We start from the raw sequence: 23,869 nt of genomic DNA, 5'->3' as shown, positions 1-23,869 counted from the left end.
TGGAACTTGGTTCTTCTGGCCTCACATCCCATCTCGCCTACACTTCAGGAAAGCACGCAGACTTTATTCACTTCAGCCACCTAAACTTGCTATCTGGGTGATCCAGGGAAAGCCACCTGAAGGTTTTTCACATTCGCATGAGCCCATGCGGGAGTACTGGGGGACTTCTCTGAGAGATGAAAGTTTCTAGCCGCAAGGTGAGACCAGAGAAATCCCAACACATCTTTGCTTATGTGGATGCCTGGCTGTTTGCTTGGGATCAGCTTCTCAGACCCCCATTTCCAGTAGTTGCCTGTGGTCCATGAATAAAGACGAAAATCAGAGCTGGCTTTGTGGATTCTTTCTAGAAAAGCTCAGAAGTGTAGAACATCCTAGAAAAGACTCTTCTCAAAAACAAAGTGAAAAATAACTTTTTATATTTGTTTAATTTAAAAGGGCAAGCTTTAATTACTTAGAAAAGTATCAGAACAGCTCTACGACAAAATTTTAATGTACATGTGTTACAAGGGAGTTTTTGAAGCCAAATTTCCTCTTTTATGTTTGTGGACCTCATGAAATGGAACACCTACCTTCTTCAAAAGATACTATGAAGCCATAAAAATGTTAATGTGCTTTGACTCAGTAATCCCCTTCTGGGAAGCTAGCCTAAGAAAATACCCTGAAATATGGAAAAAGCCATATGCAGAAAAATATTCATCAAAGAGCTGCTTAGTGAAAACCTGGAATCATCCCAAATATGCAAAAAGGGGAAGGAGGGTAGTTAAGTAAATTATGGTATAAACCTTGAAAAAATATTCTATAGCCCTTAAAAATGACGGGTATAAACTTTATGGGATTATAGAAAATGCTTCTGATAAAATATTAGGTGAAATAGTCTGAAAAAATATTTAAACACACGTGAGTTGTAAAAACAGCAAGGGCACATAAAAATATGGTTGTCACTGTCAAAGTGGTAGGCTTATGGCTTTTTACCTTGTTTTCAAATTTCTCTCATGTTATTAGATCTCTACTTTTAAAAAATTCAAATCTTTCAGAAATATAACAATAGATGCTGTGAATGCTTTAAGCAGGAAGAAACATCATTAGTAGAGGTGAGGGTAAGATGAGAATTATTTAGTGTTTTTAGAATGCTTTCATGTTTTATGAAATAAATACAAAATATATGCAAAAAGCAAACATAAAACTATAGTTGTGTTCAAGGCACAAAATCTAAAATGATATTACTGCAGAAATCATTCAGGGTTGAAGGATGTTCTTGTTTCTGTGTTTCCTGGTTGCTATGGATGCAGAAGGGTCTTCTTGTCACGAAGAATTGAAAGGATGCTTAGTATGTCTTTCTATTTGTATTTCATTTGTAGCACTAAATATGCCATGATCAGTTAGATATGGGTTTTGGCTTCAGAAGATAAATCTCATTTCTCACTCCACCATCCAAGAGATGCAATCATGGAAGAATTGGAAGGCACCTCCCAGGACATTCAGATAGAAATCTCCTTGTTAAGAGCATAAGTTCCACCAGCGACATAGGTAGGAGTTAGATGTGCAGGGTCCCAGACATGCTTTGGAGTCAAAGTCCTACCCCAGAACAAAACAAGGCCAATTTACAAAGGCAATTAATTTAAAAAGAAAAAAATCACAAATGCAAATCCAAATACCTGCGAAAATATACACTGGAAATGTAAATCAAAGAAACGTAGTTCTTATTCAAAAACAAAAAAGTTCTTTTTTTTTTTAAAAAGGGAGCTAGGGGAAGGACATAAAGGCACCTGTTCCAGTTACCTATTACTACATAAAGTATCCTAAAATTTGACAGCTTAAAACAACCACCATTTAATTGTATTTTATGATTTTCAGGGTCAGGAATTGAGGCGGGGCTTGGCTCACTCTGTGATACTCAGCTGGCCAATGAGTTGAGAGAATCCAAGGATTCACTCTCATGGCTGCTGCCTGGGGAGGCTGGCAGGCTGGGCTTGGCTGGGATATGGACCCCAGCTCCTATTCAGGGCCTCTCTAGTACGCAGTCTCCTCACAGTGGCCGGATCTCTCACGTGGTAGCCGGCATGCCCTAGAGCAAGCATTCTGAGAGACCTGGGCAGAAACTGCAAGGTTTCTTACAAACTAGCTCAGAGGTCTCAGAGCATTACTTCTGCCACATACTGTTTGTCAAGCAAGGCACTAAGGCCAGCCCGGGTTCAAGGGAAGGGGAATTAAACTCCACCTCTCAATGGGAGAGGTAACAAAGAATCTGTGGTCATCTTGGATCCTCCATGCATCATTTTACATTTGTTAAATTGGAAACAAAAATTGCAGGGAGGGAGCAGTGTGGACACATGACCCAACACAGACAAAGTCACGGATATAGAGTTCATACATAAATAATTATACCAGAGACATGAAAGATTTAGTGTTATCTGTCATAGTGATAAAACTAGACAAAACCTTTACAAGTTCAACAATAGAAGAATGATTAAGGCTTAACATAACTCTAGTAGGTAACTATTAAGAATGTTAATGATGAAAGTTCTATATAAAAACTAGAAAATATTTACAGAGTAGTGTTAATCAAATTAACAGGAAAAACCCTGAAAGATTATATGCATGTAAACAGTGATCAGAAGGGAGTAAGACCTGTAATACTAGCACTTTGGGAGCCTGAGGTGGGAGTTCAAGACCAGCCTGGGCAACATAGCAAGACCCCATCTCCACAAAAAATTTTAAAAATTAGCCAGTTTAGGTGGTGTCTACCTGTAGTCCCAGCTACTCAGGAGGCTGAGGTGGGAGGATCGCTTGAGCCCGGGAGTTTGAGGCTGCAGTGAGCCATGATGGTACCACTGAACTCCAGCCTGGGTGACAGGGCAAGAGCCTGTCTCTAAAAAATAAAAAAAGAAGGGAATGGGAAGGAATAAAAATAGTTTTATTAAGATAACAGCATTCCCAGCACTTTGGGAGGCCGAGGTGGGTGGATCACGAGGTCAGGAGATAGAGACCATCCTGGCTAACACAGTGAAACCCCGTCTCTACTAAAAATACAACAAAAAAATTAGCTGGGCGTGGTGGCGGGTGCCTGTAGTCCCAGCTACTTGGGAGGCTGAGGCAGGAGAATGGCGTGAACCCGGGAGGCAGAGCTTGCAGTAAGCCGAGATCGCGCCACTGGACTCCAGCCTGGGAGACTCCATCTCAAAAAAAAAAAAAAAAAAAAGATAATGGCATTACGTCATTATGTTTTCTTTAAAACACAAGGAACAGAGAAACATATTAAACAATACCACAAGGGTTACTAACAGCAAAATCCAGATTGTGAGACACTAACTCTACCAGCCAAATGATTAGTTTCTCTTTTTTCTTTTTTTGTATTTTTTAATTGATTTATCATAGTTGTGCATATTTTGGGGTCACATATGATATTCTGATCTATGTATATAATGTGTAATGGTCAAATTTGGGTAATTGGGATACTCCTCACCTCAAACATAAATTACAAAGGAAAAGGCAAAGAAGAGGGCAATCTAGAGGTCAAAAGAAACTTAAGAGACATATTATCAGTTGGAATACACAGACATTATTTCAATCCTGAGCCAAACAAGTGAATTCTAATGACAACATTTAAGAAACATTGGGAGACATTTGAACTCGGGGCTTTTGTTGCTATTAAGGAATTATTGTTTATTTTGTTAAAGATGGTAATGGTATTGTGGTTATTTCTCCAAGTTCTCATCTTTAAGATTGATGCAGAAATGTTTGTGGTTCAAATGGTAGATCTAGGACTGCTTCAAACAACAAGGAGGGCAGGAGCATGTGGGGCCAGATGGAATGAGAGGAGAGGTGGCTGCCAAAGCTGGGGGTATTGGGGGATGGTGCTGTTACACTGTTCCCTTCCATATTTCTTTGAAAGTTTCTGTAAGTAAAAGGTGGTTTTGTTTGCTTTTCAAAGTCCTTTCAGGTTGTTTAATGAAGGGACAAGCCAGGCGGTGCTGTGGAGCGATGATGCCAATGGTGGCGTTGAAGGATGGATAAGGAGCCTGGAAACAAGGAAGGCCTGAGTGGCAGGGTCTTAGAGACCTAAAGAGGCTCTTACAGACTGGAACCCTGGTCCTGGCCCTGAATGGGCTACCTCAAGCCCATGTGCCTCTCAGAGCTTCAGTGTCCACAGCCATTAACCCAGGAGAAAGACCTTCCCCTTCCACAGTGATGTGAGGCTCCTCTGAGAAGCACCCAGGAAGCTGCTTGACACCCGCTGTAAGCAGGGTGGCTATTGGGCACTGCACATACATTAGGAGCAACAATGAGGCACAAGCTCCACGCTGAACTGCGCATGGCCCACCCACTCTCGGCCAGGCCTGGCCGGGTCTGTGAGTGGACACATAGTGACTCTGGCTGCCAGTGACCAAGGGGCTGTGGAGGGAATGCTCGATGCCAGGGAGCTGGGGAGGAGCACAGCAGAGCCCTTGTGATGCCCCACCCAACAGCACAGTGACAAGAGAGTCATCCTGCCCTTGACCTTTAGCTAAAGAAACAAGGGGCCTCAGAACTGGAGAAAATCAGGAACTGTTTACAAGGCCAGACGCACGGTCCAGGGTAGGGCAGACAGACAGGAGATTGCCTCGAGGACCACGGGAAAGCACAGAGAGAGGTCGGGCCTCCAGGGAACTGCAGCCTCTGTTCTCAGCACTCTGAGATGAGGGAAGGAATCTAAAGGTATGGCAGTAAGACCACAGCCTACTGCTGCCACTGCTCCTGTTGTCGTGTGCCAGAGGCCGAACACGCCGCATACTGAAAAGATGACAGCAGTTAGAGTGACCAACCATCCTGGTTTGCCCAGGACTAAGGAATTTCCTGACACACAGGACTTCAATGCTCCAATTGGCAAACCAGGAGGGGTGGGTCACCCTAACTGCTGTTGTTACTAGAGCAGCACAATTCTCATAGAACCTGAGGGCTCAAAAAAATTCTCTAGGTCAAATGCTTTGCTTTGCACATAAGATAACTGTGATCCAAAGAGGTCATGACCTGCAAAATCACTCAGTTTGTGGCAAGGCTGGGACAGAAAGCCAGGGGCCCATTTTCTGGTCCGGGATTATTGATTTCTGCTGGATGGTGCTGCCTCCTGGCACCCTCTCCTGATGCTCTCTACCTGTGAAGTAGGGCTTAAGAAACAATAGCGGATCCTCCCTCCCCCTCCTTTCCCAATAGTAGGTTATGGCAGAAACAGCAGGACCAGCAAGCACAGAATTGCAGAGGCACAGTGCATTGGTGTCCAGTGGTCCCCAAAGTTAAAGGGGTTCCTTAGGCTTCCTTTCCAGGCAAGCTGGCCTTGACCTCCAGGTAAGCTCGGAGGTCCCCTTTCCCCCAGAGGGCAATTCATCATCAGGAAAAAAGACAGACACGGGAAGTGCAAGCATAAGAACTGTTCAGGGCCACCCCACCCCGCTGGCCAAAGCTCATTTCTTCACCGTGACTGCTTGAGAGAGCCGTGCTGCAGAACCTGGGGAGACACTGGGGCTTGAGACAGGGATGGGGGTGAAAGGGGGCTGGATGAGGGCTCCTGGATGCCCGAAAGAGGAGTGAGCTGCTTTGAGAAGGAAGGGGTTCCCTGTGGCTAACAGGGACTCTTCCATCTTTCCCAAGGAGGAGGGGAGACAAACCTGGCTTTAAATCCCAGCTGTGCCATCTGACAGCTGAGTGTCCTTGGGTAAGTCACTTCACCTCTCTGAACATCAGTCGTGTCTTCTACCAAGTGAAGACAGTAATATCTTTCTCCTAGGGTTATTAGGTGGATGAAACTAGGCTGGCACTGGGAAGATCTTTAAGAAATAGGAATTCCCTTCCCGTTCAAATCAGAGCCCAGGCAGCTGCTGCCTCCACATTCTAAGTTAGGCTTTAACTCCAGGAGGAGATATTCAGGGTGTGAAGCATCATTATCAGCTGTAGCTCCTGGAGAAAGAGCAAGAAGAAAGCAGTGGGGATTCTCCAGGAATTCACTGTCTAAAGCAAAGCTTCTTAGCCCTGGCTGCAATGGTGTCACAGTGGAGGGTAGGGTACTTCAAAAGCAGGCATGCCTGGTCCTAACCCCCGGAGATTCTGCTGTGATTGGTCTGGGGTGTAACTGGGGCAAAGAGATGATTAGGAGCTTCCCAAGTGAGTCCAAGGTATAGCCAGGGCTGGGATTTCCTGCCACGGGGCTTTGTGATACTCCCAATAAAGATCTAGTGAAGGAATAAAATCAGCTTTTCTCTTATTGCACTTTAGGGCAATGTGCAGCCTGATAGGGGTTCTTAGAGACCAAAAATGTGGAGGATTAAAGAAAAATTTAGCCCGTCAGACACTAGGGTCAACTCTGGAAATGTCACATGTTTAAAACTTGGGGATTTCAGCAAGCCCAGTTTAAGTCTGCCTTTCCTTATCACATGTTAAATAGCTCTGTGTTGGTTTTATCCCCGCTGTCTGTTATTTTGCAATGGCCTTTCTTCAAAGGCTTTAAAAATCTGGTGTACCGGGTCCCTCTGATACAGATGTCTCAGAATAAATCAGAAAACATTTGAAATATATTTAAGAAGAAAATGCCCATTTTGTACTACAAGGATTGAGGGTCTATAGAAAGAAGCCTTTCAGAATAAATGTCAGGCATTCTTTTCAGATGAATAAGTCCCCACAGAGGTTCTCACTACTGGTCAGTTCATCCCCCAACTCAACTCATAGCTGCTCATTGATTCTGTTTGGGGCATTCTGGAATGAAGCTGGGGCTTCAGCATAGCAGGGGTGACATTGGAAACTCTTGGTCCAGTCCAGGGAAATTGATGCTTTCATTTTTTTCGCAAGCCAGAAGGATCTGACACTTCTTAGACTTCTCTCTTTCACTTTCAGAATCTTCATGCCCCTGAGCTCCAGTGAACAGGGGTCATGGAGGAGGAAGTAAGGCATACTGAAGTGGTTCTCCAAGGACAGTCCCTGGACCAGCAGCAGGAGCAGCCTCCGGAGCCTGTTAGAAATGCAAATTCTCCTACCCACATAGCAGACCTACTGAGTCAGAAATTCTGGGGCAGTGGCGGTGGGCGAGGGGTGTTGGGGGGCAGCCAGCAGTGTTTCAGTCAAACTTCCAGGTGATTCTGGGTCACTAGAGTTGAGAACCACTGATTAAGAACACAGACAAAACATGAACAGACTTTGCTCCAAAGGCCAGCTCTGCCACTAATTACTTGGCCAGGTCACTTTCACCTCTCTGAACCTCAGTTTCCTCACCTGTAAACTAAGAATGATAATCATGGCCAGGCGCCGTGACTCACACCTGTTATCCCAGCACTTTGGGAGGCTGAAGTGGGTGGATAACTTGAGGTCAGGCATTCAAGACCAGCCTGACCAACATAGTGAAATCCCGTCTCTACTAAAAATACCAAAAAAAAAAAAAAAAAAAAGCCAGGTATGGCGGTGCACGCCTGTAATCCCAGCTACTTGGGAGGCTGAGGTAGGAGAATCGCTTGAACCCGGGAGGTGGAGGTTGCAGTGAGCTGAAGATTGCACCGCTGCACTCCAGCCTGGGTGACAGAGCGAGACTCTGTCTCAGAAAACAAACAAACAAAAACAATAATCACGCCTATCACTAAAGTGTTGTTTTGTGGATTAAGGGAGTAAATGCAGGTAAAGTGTTTAGCACTGCTCTTTGCAGAGCCTGGATGAGGGTGAGGCCAGGGAGGCACATAGGGTCAAGCGAGTGCCCCCTTAAATTTTGCATCCGTGAATGGCTCCTTCACCTCACCCTAGTTCCAGCTTTGTTTCTTATATTCCAAAAGTGCTCAGCAAATGATTCCTACTATTTTATATTATTGAGGAATCTAAAGTTTTATTCATTTTAGGGGCCTTGGTCAAGCAGTGTTCTGGAGTCAAAGTCTTTAGACAGTTTGGTGTAGAGGAAAGAGCACTGGCTTTGGAGTCCACAGGCCAGGACCTGGACCCTAGGAAGGCTGGCCAAGGAGAGAGACACAGAACAGAGGCTCCCCACACACCCACGTGGCTCCCTAAGCAAGGCTCCTTTCACTGGGCAGGGCACTTTCTTCCCCTTATCTTCTTTCTGAGAGAAAACAGAGGCCACTCTCAAGTTTGAACTCTCTCTCATCTGTGATCCCTGTGTTTTCTCTAGTAGTAGATGTCCAAAAAGCATTTGACAATCCAACATCAATTTCTTTTTTTTCTTCTTCTTCTTCTTTTTGAGACAGTCGTGTTCTGTCGCCCAGGCTGGAGTGCAGTGGCGCGATCTTGGCTCACTGCAACCTCCGCCTCCCAGGTTCAAGGAATTCTTTTGCCTCAGCCTCCCGAGTACCTGGGATTACAGGCATGTGCCACCACACCTGGCTAATTTTTGTAATTTTAGTAGAGACAGGGTTTCACTATGTTGGCCAGACCACTCAAACTCCTGATTTCAGGTGATCCACCCGCTTCAGTCTCCCAAAGTGCTGGGATTACAGGCGTGAGCCACCGCGCCCAGCCTCCAACATCAATTTCTGATTAAAAGTCCCAGCAAATTAAGACTAGAGGGGGAAAAAGGCCGGGAGTGGTGTCTGACGCCTGTAATCCCAGCACTTTGGGAGGCTGAGGCGGGCAGATCACAAGGTCAGGAGCTCGAGAACAGCCTGGCCAATAAGGTGAAACCCATCTCTACTAAAAATACAAAAATTAGCTGGGCGTGGTGGCAGGTGCCTGTAGTCTCAGCTACTCAGGAGGCTGAGGCAGAAGACCTCAGCTAACCCGCAGCTAACATCATAGTTAATGCGAAAGACTGGAAGATCTCCCCCTTCTGCATTCGCTACTCTTCTATGTTGTATCAGAGGTTCTAGTTAATTCATTAAGGCAAGTAAAGGAAAAGGCATCCAGATCAGAAACTGCCTTTATTCACAGATGGCATAATTGTCAATGGGGAAAATCTGATGAAATCTACATTAAAGCTGCAGAACTAATAAGTGAGCTTAGCAAGGTTGCAGGATATCAAATCAACATAAAGAAATCAATTTTATTACTATACACAAGCAAAAAAAAATTGGTAATTGCAATTCAAAGACAATACCATTTACAGTAACACAAAAATATGAAATGCTTAGGCATAAGTCTGGCCAGAGCTGTGCAAGATTTATACTGAAAACTACAAAACATTGCTGAGAGAAGTTAAACAAGACCAAACTAAATGAGGAAATATCCCATTGCCTAATTCAAAGTCATGAAGATTTATACCTATGTTTTCTTCTCAAAGCTTTATAGTTTTAGCTCTTACATTTGGGTCTTTGGTTCATTTTGAGTTAATGTTTTTATATGGTGTAAGTCAGGGGTCCAACTTCATTCTTTTGCATATGGATATCCAGTTGCCCCAACACCATTTGTTGAAGATTCTGGTTTTTTTCCTCCATTGAATGATCTTGGCACCATTGCAGAAAATCAACTTATCATAAATGTGAGCTTGTATTTCTGGACTCTCAAATTCTGTGCTATTGATATAAGTCTGTCTTTACACCAGTACCACACAGTCTTGATTGCTGCAGATTTGTAGTAAATTTTGAAATTGTGAAGTGTGAGTCCTCCAACTTTGTTGTTTTTCAAGATTGTTTTGGCTATTCTAGGTCTGGACAACTGATTTTTTACAAAAATATCAATGCAATTTAGTAGAGAAAGCATAGTCTTTTCCACAAATATAGTTCTGGAACAAGTGGATATCCATATGCCCTTGATTTTTTACTCTCTTATATCTGTGACCACAGCTTTTGGCTCAACCCCTGTTTTCTGAAATGCTTCTCTTCTTCTGGAAGTTGGTTTCTTATTTCTTTTCAAAAACATAAATTAAATTAGGTTTATTGAATTTAAATATTCTTGGTCTGTGCTTTCTGTTTTTGAAGGCTGTGCCTTTTCTCTCCATTCATAGACTGTTTCCTGAAATCTGGGAGTGTGAGGAGCTTAAAGGGAAACCCTGACTGATGGGAGCTGGGAAGACATCATGTGAATTCTCTCCTGTGCCTTTTCCAGACAAATGGCCTTCCCTCCTGCTGGATGGCCCTGGGGAAGGGCCTGAGTAGCCACAGCCACAAAGATTCAGGCACCTGCAGGGCCTTCAAACACAGGCAAATGCATGGGGTAACTTCTCTCACTTGGTTTCCGAAGGAGAAAAGGTCTACCCAGCATCACCGTCCACTTCCACACCTCTCCATTAGCGTAACATGTATCTACCAGACATAAGTCAAGCACCTAGTGCATACAGAGATCCAGCTAACCTGTGTCACAGGCCTCAGGGGGCCTGGATTGGGCCATTGGAAGGGCAGGAGAGCTCTGTATACAGTGAGACACTTTTTTTTTTTCTTTGAGACACAGCCTTGCTCTGTTGCCAGGCTGGAGTGCAGTGGCGCGATCTCAGCTTACTGCAACCTCTGCCTCCTGGGTTCAAGCGATTCCCTTGCCTCGGCCTCCCGAGTAGCTGGGACTATAGGCATGCACCATCACACCAGGCTCATTTTTTGTATTTTAGTAGAGACAGGGTTTCACCATGTTGGCCAGGATGGTCTCGATCTCCTGACCTCGTGATCAGCCCGCCTCGGCCTCCCAAAGTGCTGGGATTACAAGCAGTGAGACCCTTTTATTATTCCTCCTACGTGTAGTACTGAGACCCCAACATTTTCTCTACCAAATTCCCTTCCCTGAATCATGATGAGTTTTGCAGTATCCAAAGCTATACAACTGAGCTTTTAAAAGACTATTTATTTGCTAGTAGTTGAGGGTTGGAGCTGTGGAGTCAGACTGCTGGGTATGTGGTCTTGGGCACAAAGCTTAACATAGTGGCTCTCAAAGTGTGGTCCCTGATCCGGCAGTATCAGCATCCAATTTTCAGGCCCCACACCAAACCTATTGAATCAGAATCACGGGGTGGGACTCAGCATTTCATATTTTAACCAGCCCTTCAGGTGATTCTGATGCACCTTGGCTGTTAAAGAGCTTACCTGTTATCCAGATTTCATATCCTGCTTCTGCCATTTGCTACCTGTTACTTAAGATCTCTGGGTTTCAGTTTCCTCATCTATAAAATGGGAATGATCATGGTACTAGCTTCCACAAGGCTCTTGTTCCAATTAATAGAATGAGCCATGTAAACTACTTAGGATGTACTTATTCATCATTAATTACATATAAATGTGTTTATGTGTGTGTGTGTGTGTGTGTGTGTGTGTGTGTGTGTGTATGTGAATTTCCCTTGCCTTAGGTGTTTACGAAGATTCATGGTCATGTGTAATAGTTGTATAACACGTCTTAAAATTTTACGAAGAAACTTGTATATGACGGCCCTAATCATTTTCATAACAAGCAAGGTAGGTGTTAGGTATTATTATCTTCATTGTACACATGGAAAACAGGGGCCCAGAGCATAACATTTTCTCAGGGTCACAGTGAGACAGTTATGAGTCTAGAATATAAACCACTTCTGCCTTGAACATTTGTGTCTATTCATTACATCATGAGTTCTCAGAGTGCAGGCCTGCAATCTTGGTTGACACAGATAAAATTGTTTTAATTTAGGTACCTGTATTTGTCCACTATGGGAAAAAAGATATGGTTAATGGCGATGCTGTTAGTTAAATATAAAGTTCTTGGCACAACCCAGCTTGGCATGTGACTTACCGCTGCTTCTTGCAATTCCTCATTCCAAACAGGGAGGCTGTTTGGTGCAACAGGCACTGGAATGGAAAAGGTCAACCCAGCTCCAACTTCTGACTCCAACATTTCTTATCTGAGTGTGTGACCTTGAACAAGGTACTTTGCCTCTTAGAACTTCCTTTTCTCCTTTTGTAAAATGGGGTACTATCCCTCCCCCACCCAGCTCCCAGAACAGCCCTGGGTCTCAAGTTGAATGATGTGGAAGATGTGGAAGCACTTTGCAAATCATAAAGTACATGTACAATGATGGGATTGGAAGGAAGAGTTTGCTGAAGATGAATTCTGCTGGCCTCTGCCAGCTCTAAACGGCTCTGTGGTCTGGCAAGGCCAAGGCAATGTGCAGCTGGTGGGAGGTCGGTGGGGACTGGTGGAAAGCTAGTCAAGATGTGTGGCCTGACCCTTGCTGGGGAGTGGCCTGCCAGGACAGGGGGATGTCAGAGACCCTTCCAGGGAACCCCCAGTCATATGCCATCAGCTCGGGACAAGCCACTGCTGCCCTGGAGGCCCTCTGGAGTCAGACCCAAGAAGTCCACGCAAAGTGAAACAAGTTCTCGTCCTGGCTACCAGTTCCCAAGATGACACTGGGCAGGACCCTCACTTCTCTAGGCCTTTGTTTTACAAAACAAAGTGGCATGTGCCATCTCTCAAGAGCAAAGAAAAACAAAACAAAACAAAACAAAATCAATAAAAAATTAAAAATGGCATATCCTCAACTATTCCACCAACCCTTTTATTATTCCTCCTAAGTGTAGTACTTAGATCTCAACATTTTCTCTACTAAATTATCTTCCCTGAATAATGATGAGTTTTGCTGTGTTCAAAGCTAAATAACTGAGCTTTCAGAGGACTATTTGCTAGTAGCTGGGGGTTGGAGCTGTGGAGTCAGGCTGCTGGGTGTGTGAACTCGGGCACAGTGCTTAACCCCTTTGGCACTTAGTGTCTCCATCTGCAAAATAGGACTCATAAACGTACCCATCTTACAGGATCGAAGATCAGTGAGATGGTGTGTGAAGGGCTTCACCTTGCTTCTAGCAGCTAAGTTCAGTGGGAAGCTATCACTGTCACCAGCAACACCAGGGTACAGAGGGACCAGCTGGAGCTGATTTCAGAGAAAAGTCAAGACACCGGATACTTTTACGAGCCCGTGAGCCCTCACACAGGGGCTATATACTGTTTCTTTTCAGCTTTTGAAAGAACCGGGAATAGTCTGAGCACCCCAAGTCCAGGGACCCCAGCCTGGGAACCTCTGGCCCAGAGAATCATAAAGTTGCTTCCATCTCTGACATTCAAGGTCTCAGAACATTTCAGCTGTGCTGAGGGTCAGCCAAGCCTCTTAAAAGAAACCCGCGTGGTCAGCAGCAGCTGGGCCTGCAGTGAAGCCAAGGTAGACCACAGGAGGAGCTGCCGCAGCCCAGAGCCCCGCCTCCCAGGGCCAGGGCCCCTGCAGAAGAGTCGCACATCAGAGGAAAGCTCACAGCCTCCTGTTCAGTGCATCCGGGAACTAAATCTCCACGCCCCCTCCCACCTCTCTGATCTGAAAAAGGCCAGGAGGGAAGGAAATGGTTATTTCAAAGGCTGGACGATCCCCCTTTGCAGACAGGGTCAGAGTCTGAGTCTTGAGCTCTCCAAGGAACTACTGAAAACCAGAACTTTGTCTGCTTCCTTTTCTTCATTTCTCCTTTCCTTTCTTTGCAGTCCTGTTCTAAATGTAGATCTGTAATCCCGGCTACTCGGGAGACTGAGATGGGTGGATTGCTTGAGGCCAGAAGTTCAAGGCCAGCCTGGGCACCATAGCAAGATCCTTGACTCTAAAAAAAATTAAAAATAAAATTATGCAGGCATGGTGGCATGCACCTATAGTCCCAGCTACTAGAGAGGCTGAGGCAGAAGGATTGCTTGAGCCCAGGAGTTTGAGGCTGCAGTGAGCTATGATCACACCCCTGCACTCCAGCCTGGGTGACAATCCAACGTGATCATCATATAAATGATGATAAATAAATACTTATTTATTGATAAAAATAAATAAGTAAGTAAATAAGATCTTGGAGGCCATGATTCAGGCTGTCAAGGAACAGAAACCTAACCATCAACGGGAGGGAAAAACCTCAGGATCTCGGTGTTGTAGGAGTGATCTCGGGGTAAACCACACACTAGTGGAGTCTCCTACAGAAAAAGCCGATATGATGGGAATGATGCAGAATCCCTCACCTCTGTGGATCCTTCGTGCCCATTCTCTGTCTGGCTCCTCACACCAAGCCCTAGAGACATCCAAGGCAGAGCTTCCTATTCCCATTACACAGAGGAAGAAACTGAAAGCCAGGAAGAAGATGATAATATGAAAAACCATAGCTAACTTTCATTGAGCACTCACTAATTTGCCAGGTAAGGCACTAAGAACTTTGCATGCATTATCTCATTTAATCCACACAAGTGCCCTAATGAGGTAGGCATTATTGCTCTTCCCATTTTACAGATAAGGAAATTAAGGCAGATCTGCCAGATGTCCAAGCCCACACTCATAATCACTGGCTACACCTGCCCCTGCCCAAGAACCACACGGTGAGACAGTGGAAGGCTCAGGAGCCAAGCCCGGGTCTTCTAACTCCAGGTTGAGTGCTCTTTCCCTGCTGCCGTTCTGCTTCCTTGTGGTGAGTGGAAGGACGGCTATTCTAATAATCAGATCTATATAAAAAAGGAACAGGTTGTGTGGGAGGGATTGAGAACCCCATCACTGAGAGGCATCCTAGCCAAAGCGAGATGATCGCTTGGTGGAGTGCTATGGAGGTAATGGGGGTGGGGCTTAAGGCTCCTTCCAGACATGGGGAGGCAATGAAATCCATTATAGTTGCCAAGAAAACCTCCAGAAAGATGTCTAGGTCCCATCTTTTCTTTCTTCTCTCATGTCATTCATTCCTTCTCTTAATCAACAACTCATTGAGAGCCCACACTGTGCCAGATCCCATGCTATGTAACAAAGGACCAGACAGACATGGGCCCTACCATCCAGAACATATGCTTCAGTGACCTTTATCCCCAGCGAGCCTAAATAGGACTCCTCTGCCAACCAAGATATCCCATCTCTAGACCATGGCTCCTTCTGTTGACTTTCCACCAACTCCTCCTTGATGCTGAAACCAAAGCGGTGCAAATACCACCTTGGAACTCTTAACACGCTGTTGCTGGGAATGTGAATTAGCACAGCCACTATGGCAAACAAAATGGAGGTTTCTCAGAAAATTATAAATAGAACTACCCCCTGACCCAGCAATCCCACTACTGGGTATTTATCCAAAAGAAAGGAATTCAAGTGTACCAAAGGGACACCTGCACTCCCATGTTTCTTGCAGCACTATTCACAATAGCTAAGATATGAAATTAACCTAAGTGTCCATCAATAGGTGGATGAATAAAGAAAATGTGGTATGGATACACAATAAAATACTCTTCAGCCATACAAATGAATGAGATGTCATTCGCAGCAACAGGGATGGAACTGGAGGTCATTATGTTAAGTGAAAATGCCAGGCACAGAAAGACAGATACCGCGTGTTCTCACTCATACGTGGGAGCTAAAAACTTGATCTCATGGGCATAGAGAATAGAATAATTGATACCAGAGACTGGGAAGGGTGGGTAGGTGGGTGGGAGGAGGATAATGAAGAGAAGGTGATTAATGCGTACAAACATACAGTTAGATAGAAAAAATAAGTTCTAATGTTTGATAGCAGACTAGGATGACTATACTTAACAACAAACAATATTTTGTATCTTTCAAAGTAACTAAAAGAGAGGACTTGAAATGATACCAACACATAGAAATAAATGATAAATACTCAAGGTGACGGATACCTCAAATACCCTTACTTGACCATTACACATTCCATGCATAAAACACTTACATGTGCCTTATAAATGTGTTTAACATTACATATCAATAAAAGAAATAAAAATTCATCATAGTTTTAAAATTATAATTAGACTGACGGTTTAAAGAAAAACAAATTTGGAAGATTAAAATGGATTCAATGAACCTGGCCTAACATAATTAGCACAGTTGATCTTTTGTATGTGTATATGGAGTCCTTATTAAAACATTGACATATTCTACAAAGAATAACAAAAATAAAAGGTGATTTCAAGACTTTTGGGGAAAAAAATGCCACTTAGTCTAAGACGCCTTCTCTGGTATTCCTAGCAGAAGTGCTTCTCCTTCTGCCTGGCTCCGTGACCCCTGCAGGTGCCTTCCCTATCTCACAGGCAGTTGGGTTGATCTGCACTGTATTTCACGTAGACGTTGGGTGCAGGGGATGTTCTGCAGGACCACAAGCTCACGGACTGCAGGGACTGTGTCCAATTCTGGTATCCAAATGCCAGGCATCCCAGCACAGATAAGATGCTCATTCATTCATTCATTCATTCAACAAATATGTATTGAGCAGTTGTGAAGTGTCGGGCCCTGTTCGGCCACTGGGTTTCCAATAGCACACAAGGCAGGCAAAAAGCCTGCCCTGGTTTATATTCCAGTGGGAACTACTAGATGAACAAGCCAATGACTAAATGAATATGCATTGAATCCTGAAAACCCTTTTTGAGACCCTACACTTAGAAAAAGGTGCATTTTTGGACTGTTTGCATATCCACCGGTCAAATGTTTATCTACACTAAGTGAGCTCTTGAAGGAAGCCTACCTTCCTCTGTGGCATGAGTGTTTAAAAATTGCCGGAAAGGGATCGTGTCAGAATTAGTCTTCCCTGCTTTGGGAATCCTGAGCTATTGAGATGTTAGCCAAAGGCTTGAATAAAATAAAATAAACTAAGCTTTAGAGTCAGAGAAATAATTCAATTTCAGGAAACACCAGGCCCAGGGACAGTAATAACAAAAATAATCACAGCAAACATTTACACAGCACATACTATGTGCCAGACCCAGGAGAATCTCTGGGTTCCCAACAGACGACAAGGCTATGTCAGAAGGAAGGAGAGGCCATGAGGGGGTTGACCCTGACTAGCGCCATCCCCTGGGATCGGGCCGTTGTTCACTAGGGCTCTAACTGTCCCATGATCCACAGCAAGCTTTGAGGCCCAGTGCATTTGAATTTCCCAGGAATTCAATGGCAGAAAAGACAAAATGTCCCAAGCAAAAGGACATTTACCTCCCTAAAACAGAAAAACTGTGCTCAGGGAAGGAAATTCCTTGGAATAATGGAAGCATCTTTACTCCCTGAAAAGAAGGTTGGAATGCACATTTATTGAGCTTTTACGATATGCCAGGCACTGTGCTTGGATTTGGTTTACACTGTCATTTACTCACTGCTGGGTACTATTTTAATGTGGAGCTATAGCCAGGGATGAAATAGACACTGTCAGTCCCCAGCGCTGACATGCAGTCAGGATGTATCTCTCCTCCTCCCTCCCCTTCTTCTCCTCTTCCTTCGCTTCCTCCTCTCCCTCTCCCTCCTCTACCTTCTTCTCCTCTTCCTCTTCCTGATGTATTCCCCACTTCTCTCATCAACATGTACATGTATTCATGCCATAAACACCCACAGAGCATCCACTACATGCCAGGCACTGTGCCTGACATTGAGGGTGAGGAAGGGAGCAAGATAAACACCAAGGGGCCCATGGTTCATCAGCCCAGGTGCCCAGGCTGGAAACATGAACACCACCTGCAACTTCAGACTTCCTCAGCCCCTTCATGGTTGTTCAACGAGTCCTGCAATTAGACCCTTTCCCTCCATCTCCACTGCCAAAGCCTTAGCCCAGATCTTCACCCTCCCTCACTATGGTCACCATCCAGCTCCCTCAGCCTCCCTCTGGTGTTGCCTTCTCCAGCTCTTTCTCTGCAATGCAGCCAGAGGGACTTCTGTAGAACACATCTAGATCTGTTTGCTCCCTTACTCAGAGCCTTACGTGGCTACCCTCAGGAGAAAGTCCAAGCTCCCTGACCAGGTATTCAAGGCCCATCCTGACCCCTCTTTTTTTTTTCTGTCTCTCTTTTGGGGACTGAATTTTGCTCTTGTTACCCAGGATGGAGAGCAATGGCGCAATCTCAGCTCACTGCAACCTCTGCCTCCTGGGTTCAGGCGATTCTTCTGCCTCAGCCTCCTGAGTAGCTAGGATTATAGGTGCCTGCCACCACACCCAGCTAATTTTTGTATTATTAGTAGAAACGGGGTTTCACCATGTTGGCCAGGCTGGTCTCAAACTCCCGATCTCAGGTGATCCACCCACCTCGGCCTCCCAAAGTGCTGGGATTACAGGCTTTAGTCACCATGCCTGGCCCATCCTGACCCCTCTTGCTCCAGTAGGGTTGGACTGGCAGGAGATGAGCTATGGATGGTGAAGCAGTTGGTTCCCAACCAGCCACTGACTCCTTATCAGCGAGGTACACATGCACACAGACCCCCGTACCCACCCAGAGACACACGGGCACAAACACACACACTCAGGTGCACCCTGGGGTATAAACAAGCAAGTCCATTTATGCTGACACACATGCATGTAGACATAGCAGCCAGATTACCAAACCGAAACACAAGATGACCAGTTACATTTGAATTTCAGATGAATAACATGTTTTTAGTATAATTATGTTCCAAATGCTGCATGGATAAATTTATACTAAAAAATAATTTGATGCTCATCTGAAGTTCAGATTAAATTGAGCATCCTGTATTTTATCTAGTGACTCTACAAACAGAGAACAGCTAACACAAGCACCAACCCTACACATACATATTACACAGCTTACACACTTATACATGTTACATACTTATACTACTTACACGGGCAATTCACGTGTGAACGTGCGCCTCACACTGTCGTGTATTCTAGACTAATGGGCATCTCACTGCCCACGACCAAACCGGAACATTGGCCAGCTGCAGAAAGCTCTTCAGGGAAACATTTATTCCGTGAATAAATGCCTAATTAACAGGAATTCCTGGACATCCAGCTCCTAGAATGTTGTGTGCCCAAAGTAATCCCTGCGGAAACTGGGCTTTCACTAAGCACAATGCCCTGAGTGGATGGCAGCAGGGAGAAGGGTCTATGGGGCTGAGCCTCTCATTCCCTCCTGTTCTTTTCACAGATTTCCAGAGCAGAGTTCAGGGCCTATAAACTCCCTTTCCAAATAAGACCTCCTTGTCCCAGCTGGAAGCCTGCCTAGGATCATGAGAAAGTCACAGAATTTAAAGCCAGACAGAAATATGTTCACAAATTCGACTTCCACATATCTGCGCTGTGTCCTTGAGCAAGTCACTTGCCCTCTCTGTAGAATGGAAATGTTCCACTAATAAACCAACTCCTTTGGGTTACAAGTGTTACTAAATAAGATAATGTATGTGGACGACGTTTTTCAGAGTTTTGGATAAAAACTAGCTCCTAGGGTTGTAAGTGACGCACAGAAGAGGAGAATGTGATAAAACTTTGGGACAACTAAAATCAGGCATTAGTGTCAATTAAGTACTGCAAAGTCACATCCTAAGTAAATTAGGTTCTAAACTCAGCACATACAGGGAAAATGCTTATGTCCAAAACACTCTGAAAGCCTTTTAGGATTGTGTACACAGCGTTGTACAATGGCAAACAAGAATACTTACGCACACTGGAAATTCAGGACCTCTGACATAGACCGAAGGGAGAAACAAAAGGAACTTCTTCTATGCAAATGTCTGGGCATATTCTGATTTTAAAATGGCCAGCAAATCCCTAGTGATTAATGGCAAGAGTGGAGAATACTGAAACTTCTTCTTGCCTGCAGGGTTTCCTCTATTATTTTAAAACACTGAGCCTCTATGTAGTCAACATTAATGCTTGTTCCTCAGTTTTTCTGGTTATTTTCCACCTGAGCACACAATAGGATTGTATGTCCCTTCCTTTGGCCTGTGAAATGGGAAGTGGTGTGTTACCACCAGGCAGAAGCATTCTAGTGCTGCTAAGAGATTCTTCATCTTCTCCTCCCCCTGCTGCAGTGACCCACAGCATTCCAGGTGGTGAACCTTGAGTATCTAAGACAGGTCAGTGTGAACGATGACCCCACAAACCTACAATGAATGTGGAGCATGAGTGAGAAGTGAGCCTTTGCTATTTTAAGCCATGCATATTTAAGAGTTGTTTATTACTGAAGCAAAATCCAGCCTATCCTGACTAATACACTTTAACATTTTAGTACATATTAATAGATTTGTTTGTTGTTGTGAAGCTTTTTTTTTTTTTTTTAAAGACAGAGTCTAGCTCTGTCACCCAGGCTGGAGGGCAGTGGCACAATCACAGCTCACTATAGCCTTGACCTCCTAGGCCCAAGTGATCCTCCCACCTCAGCCTCCTGAGTAGCTGGGACCACAGGCATGTGCCACCATGCTCAGCTAATTTTGTTTGTTTGTTTGTTTGTTTGTAGAGAAGGAGGTCTCACTATGTTGCCTAGGTTGGCCTCAAACTCCTGAGCTCAACGGACCCTCCTGCCTCAGCTTCCCAAAGAGCTGGGAGTGAGCCATATCGCCCATCCAGAGGGGAGGAAATCCTAAAATTACCTTGTGATAAATGCTTGAGGTGTTGGATACGCCATTTACCCTGATGTGATTATTAGGCATTGCATGCCTATATCAAAGTTTCTCATTGAACCCATAAATATATATATATACCTGATATACCCATAAAAATTAAAAATTAAAAAATAAAATAACTTGTAAGTTAGATGAGCCTGATGCAACATCACTGTAATTGCATACCCTGCCTAGCCTACTTCCAAACAGAATCTGTGGTAGCTTAGTAAATCAAAATACATACTGGCAAACAGAGTCACTAAAATAACAATAGAGGAGAGAGAGGAATCCATTCAGGGAAGATGGGAGAGGATTGTACTTGGAAGTTTTGCCAAAAGCCAAGAATGACAGGTTGAACCACGGATCAGTGAAAGCATTTAGGAGTAGGCATTAGAAGAAATTCTTGGTACCAAGAGGCTCTGGGCCAGAAGGCTGGGAGGGAGGAAACCAATGTTTATTTTGTGCCTGCTATGTGCCAGATACTGTGCTATATGCATTGAAAATGTAATTTCTTTATTATTCTCATTAAAACTCAGGGAAGTAAAAACAGGCTCAGAGAAGTCAAATAAGTTGTCTGAGGTCACACAGTAGAAGACTAAGGATTCGAATCCACATTGGTCTCAGTCTTACATCAGTGCTCTTATTGGAGCCATCGGGGGCTGAGTCTGGGAGGTTGCACTCCCTACCACTTGTTCCAGACATGGTTGCAATGTAATGTGGCAGCAAGCTAGCATTCTCTTCCCAATAGCTCGGACGTGAAGCCCTGTTGGAGGGGACCATGGTGTCCAGGTCTGCCCCACACAGGGTGGCCCTGCTTACGACTTCCTGTCCTGTACCCACAAGGGTCCCAGTCTCCTTGGGAGTGTCCTGTGAAGAGGAAACCACATTCCAGGCCCAGATGCAGACAGCTGTGTGCTTCCTCCAGCCTGTGGTGACTCATACTGGGACAAGAAAGCCGCTTCTTTGCCTGGATTCCCTGTCCCAAAACCCTAATCTGGGGAAAGCTGCCTTAAGCTCCCTAAACACAAGGCCCTGTCCGGGCGGCTGGCGCTCTCGAGGGTGGGGTGCACCGATGCTGTCCACCGAGAGCAGGGTCCAGAACAAAGAGGAAATTCAGGGCAGGAGATCATTTTTTTCTCCCTGGCGAGGCTCCTGCGGCCATCTGGCTGAGAGGGCTGTTATTCAAACCTCTGGATCGAAGTCTGTTTGTTTTTTAAGAGTTTGCAGCTGATTATTTTCATCAAATTCCCTGCAGCCAACTGCGCTGGCTCCTTTAGCAGGCAAACCTGTGCAGCCAACATGTCCTCTCGGCTGGGTTCACCGCTCCCCTAGCAGGGAACCAGCAGCATCACTCTCTTCTTATCAATAAGGGCCCCTAGGCCAGGGCAGGGCCTTCAGATCTGGATAACTGGGCCAGCCAACCAGTGGTCTAGCTGACATCAGAGACTGGCATAAAGGAGGGACACTTGGGAAATCAGAAAGCTCCTGGTGGCCAGACCAGCTCCAGTGGCCTTTGGTATAATCATTCCAGCTCTGAAAAGGTAGCACCAGTCCTTCCGGGGTATCTTCACTGTGCAGAAAAGCGGTGAAGAAGCCGGGCATGGTGATTCACGCCTGTAATCCCAGCACTTTGGGAGGCTGAGGCGGGCAGATCACGAGGTCAGGAGATCGAGACCATCCTGGCTAACACGATGAAACCCCACCTCTACTAAAAATACAACAAATTAGCCAGACGTGGTGGTGGACACCCGTAGTCCCAGCTACTCTGGAGGCTGAGGTAGGAGAATCACTTGAACCCGGGAGGTGGAGGTTTCGGTGAGCTGAGACAGCACCACTGCGCTCCAGCCTGGGCAACAGAGCGAGACTCCGTCTCAAAAAAAAAAAAGAAAAAAGAAAAAAGAAAAAAAAAAAGAAAAAAAAAGAAAAGCAGTGAAGATCTCAGAGATCTGTAGAGAGGATTGAGCTGGAGTTCAAATCCAAACTCCAACACTTTTGTTAAATGGCAACTGAGTCTTCATTTATTCCTTTGGAGATTGGGAATAGTAACACCTTATCTCCCCGCACTGCCGTGTGTATGTATGTAAATATATACACATAGAATAATACATATGAAAGGCCTAAGACCATGCCTCCACGTAGCACGTTCTCAATAAATATTATTAGTTTCCCCTTTTCATTTCTTCAAGCATATGACAACTTGGTCTTTCACTCCCCTGGTGTGGAGGACAGGTGAGCAGCTGGTGCTCCTTGCCATAGCAAAAAAAGTGTGCAGAGACTGGGAACTTTCCTTCAAGAGGCAATGAGAATGAGCCATCTTCAAAGTAATTGCACAGACCATGAACCGATAACTTTTTTACCCAGAAAGTAAAATCCAACTTGTTTGGTAAGATATGAGCTGAGTTACTCAATATGATTTCTGGACATCGGCCTGTCTTTGGGGTCAGAGTGATGGACTAGGGCTATTCGGAGGGAACGGAAATGATGGTTGTTCTGCACAAAGCAAGAGAGGTCCCCTGTACCATAGCAATCACAAAAAGCTCTATATGAAAGGCTCCCTCCTTTATCTGAGAATCTAGGTTAGGGCAATTTCTAAACCAAACTTTTTTTTTTTCTTTGTACTTTAACTACTCAGCTCTTCTGCCTTTTGGAAATGAGAAAAATGCGGCTTCTTAAAATATCTTGCCTGCCTCCCCACTCCCAGCCTCCTGCCCCGACAGCTGAGACGGCCCCAGATCCTTGGCCCTTTGCCAGGGTGTTCAGAGGGCTCAGCCCCCATGGGCCCGGCAGCTGGGCCTCCAAGGGGAAGGACTTTTGACTCATTCCTGATACCAATCCTGGCCTTGCAGCCTGTTTCTTCCAAGATCATTGTAAGTTCCTGAACCCTAACTCCAAAGACTTGAGTCCTGATCCCAAACCTCAGGCCAGTGGCTATAGCCTGGGCTCCCAGACTTCCCCAAAATCTGTCTGCTGGTCAAGACCCTCCCACAATGCCCATTCCCCAGCTCCTGGCCACCACCCTACTTGCTGCAAGCCCCTCTCTGAGTCAGCAAATGCCACTGCTCCAAGCCCAGCACCAGACTTGGTACACATTGTTGTGTCCTTGAATTAGACCAGGCCAGGCCAGTTCACTTGCAGAATCGTTTCACTGCCTAAGGATACTGTGCCACAGGGAAGGTCACTACCCTGAGGAACTCATCGCACATGGGACAAGAGAGTTCTGTGAATGAACAAATGAATGAATGAATGAATGAATGAATGAATGACAATATAATGCAAATTGTAGTTGAGACTCACAGAACGTGAAAAGGTTGGCCCAGAGGAAAAATAATCCACTCCACCCCAGCGGGTGAGTAGGGAGCCAGGGAAGGCTTTGAGGATAAAAGTCTAACTTGGAGTTCAAAGGTGGAACAGGGAGACCAGAGGGGACAGTCTAGTTGTCGTTGATTCAATGGTCACTTTTATCTTTACTATAATTTATCCCTTTTGTGGATAATGTGCACTTCAGATTCACTTAATTCTAGCTCTTAACTAAAAATTCTGGGTAGGATCTTGTCCTAAGTTTAAAAGTCTGGATTTCTCTCAAGTAGAATTGTTAGTAAAAGGAGCCCTAGATGTGGAGTCAGAAACACTTGGTCGAAGCCTTGGGTCTGT

General features: G+C 45.0%; 1 long non-coding RNA gene across 2 annotated transcripts, besides 1 other annotated feature; it reads right to left on the bottom strand.

Moving 5' to 3' along the window:
* Window positions 1–396: 396 nt before the first annotated feature.
* ADIPINT (adipocyte associated pyruvate carboxylase interacting lncRNA) lies at window positions 397–18,727 on the bottom strand. Of its 2 annotated transcripts, none has more exons than NR_176918.1 (2): window positions 18,461–18,727; window positions 397–1,575 (listed from the first exon to the last, which is right to left on the bottom strand). It is a non-coding gene; the product is annotated as an adipocyte associated pyruvate carboxylase interacting lncRNA (long non-coding RNA). The 2 variants fall into 2 exon arrangements; NR_176917.1 differs by lacking the exon at window positions 397–1,575 and adding an exon at window positions 12,114–13,484.
* Window positions 21,219–21,459: a silencer, noted in NCBI's record as "fragment chr9:101670754-101670994 (GRCh37/hg19 assembly coordinates)". NCBI's record gives its function as "represses an EF-1alpha promoter that drives an FKBP-Casp9 reporter gene in an ReSE screen in K562 erythroleukemia cells {active_cell/tissue: K562}" and the evidence as "EXISTENCE:reporter gene assay evidence [ECO:0000049][PMID:32094911]".

The sequence above is a fragment of the Homo sapiens genome, chromosome 9, assembly GCF_000001405.40.
Source record: "Homo sapiens chromosome 9, GRCh38.p14 Primary Assembly".
NCBI lineage: Eukaryota > Metazoa > Chordata > Mammalia > Primates > Hominidae > Homo > Homo sapiens.
The sequence above is the reverse complement of the archived record's forward strand: the minus strand, read 5'-3'. Positions and strand labels throughout refer to the sequence as shown.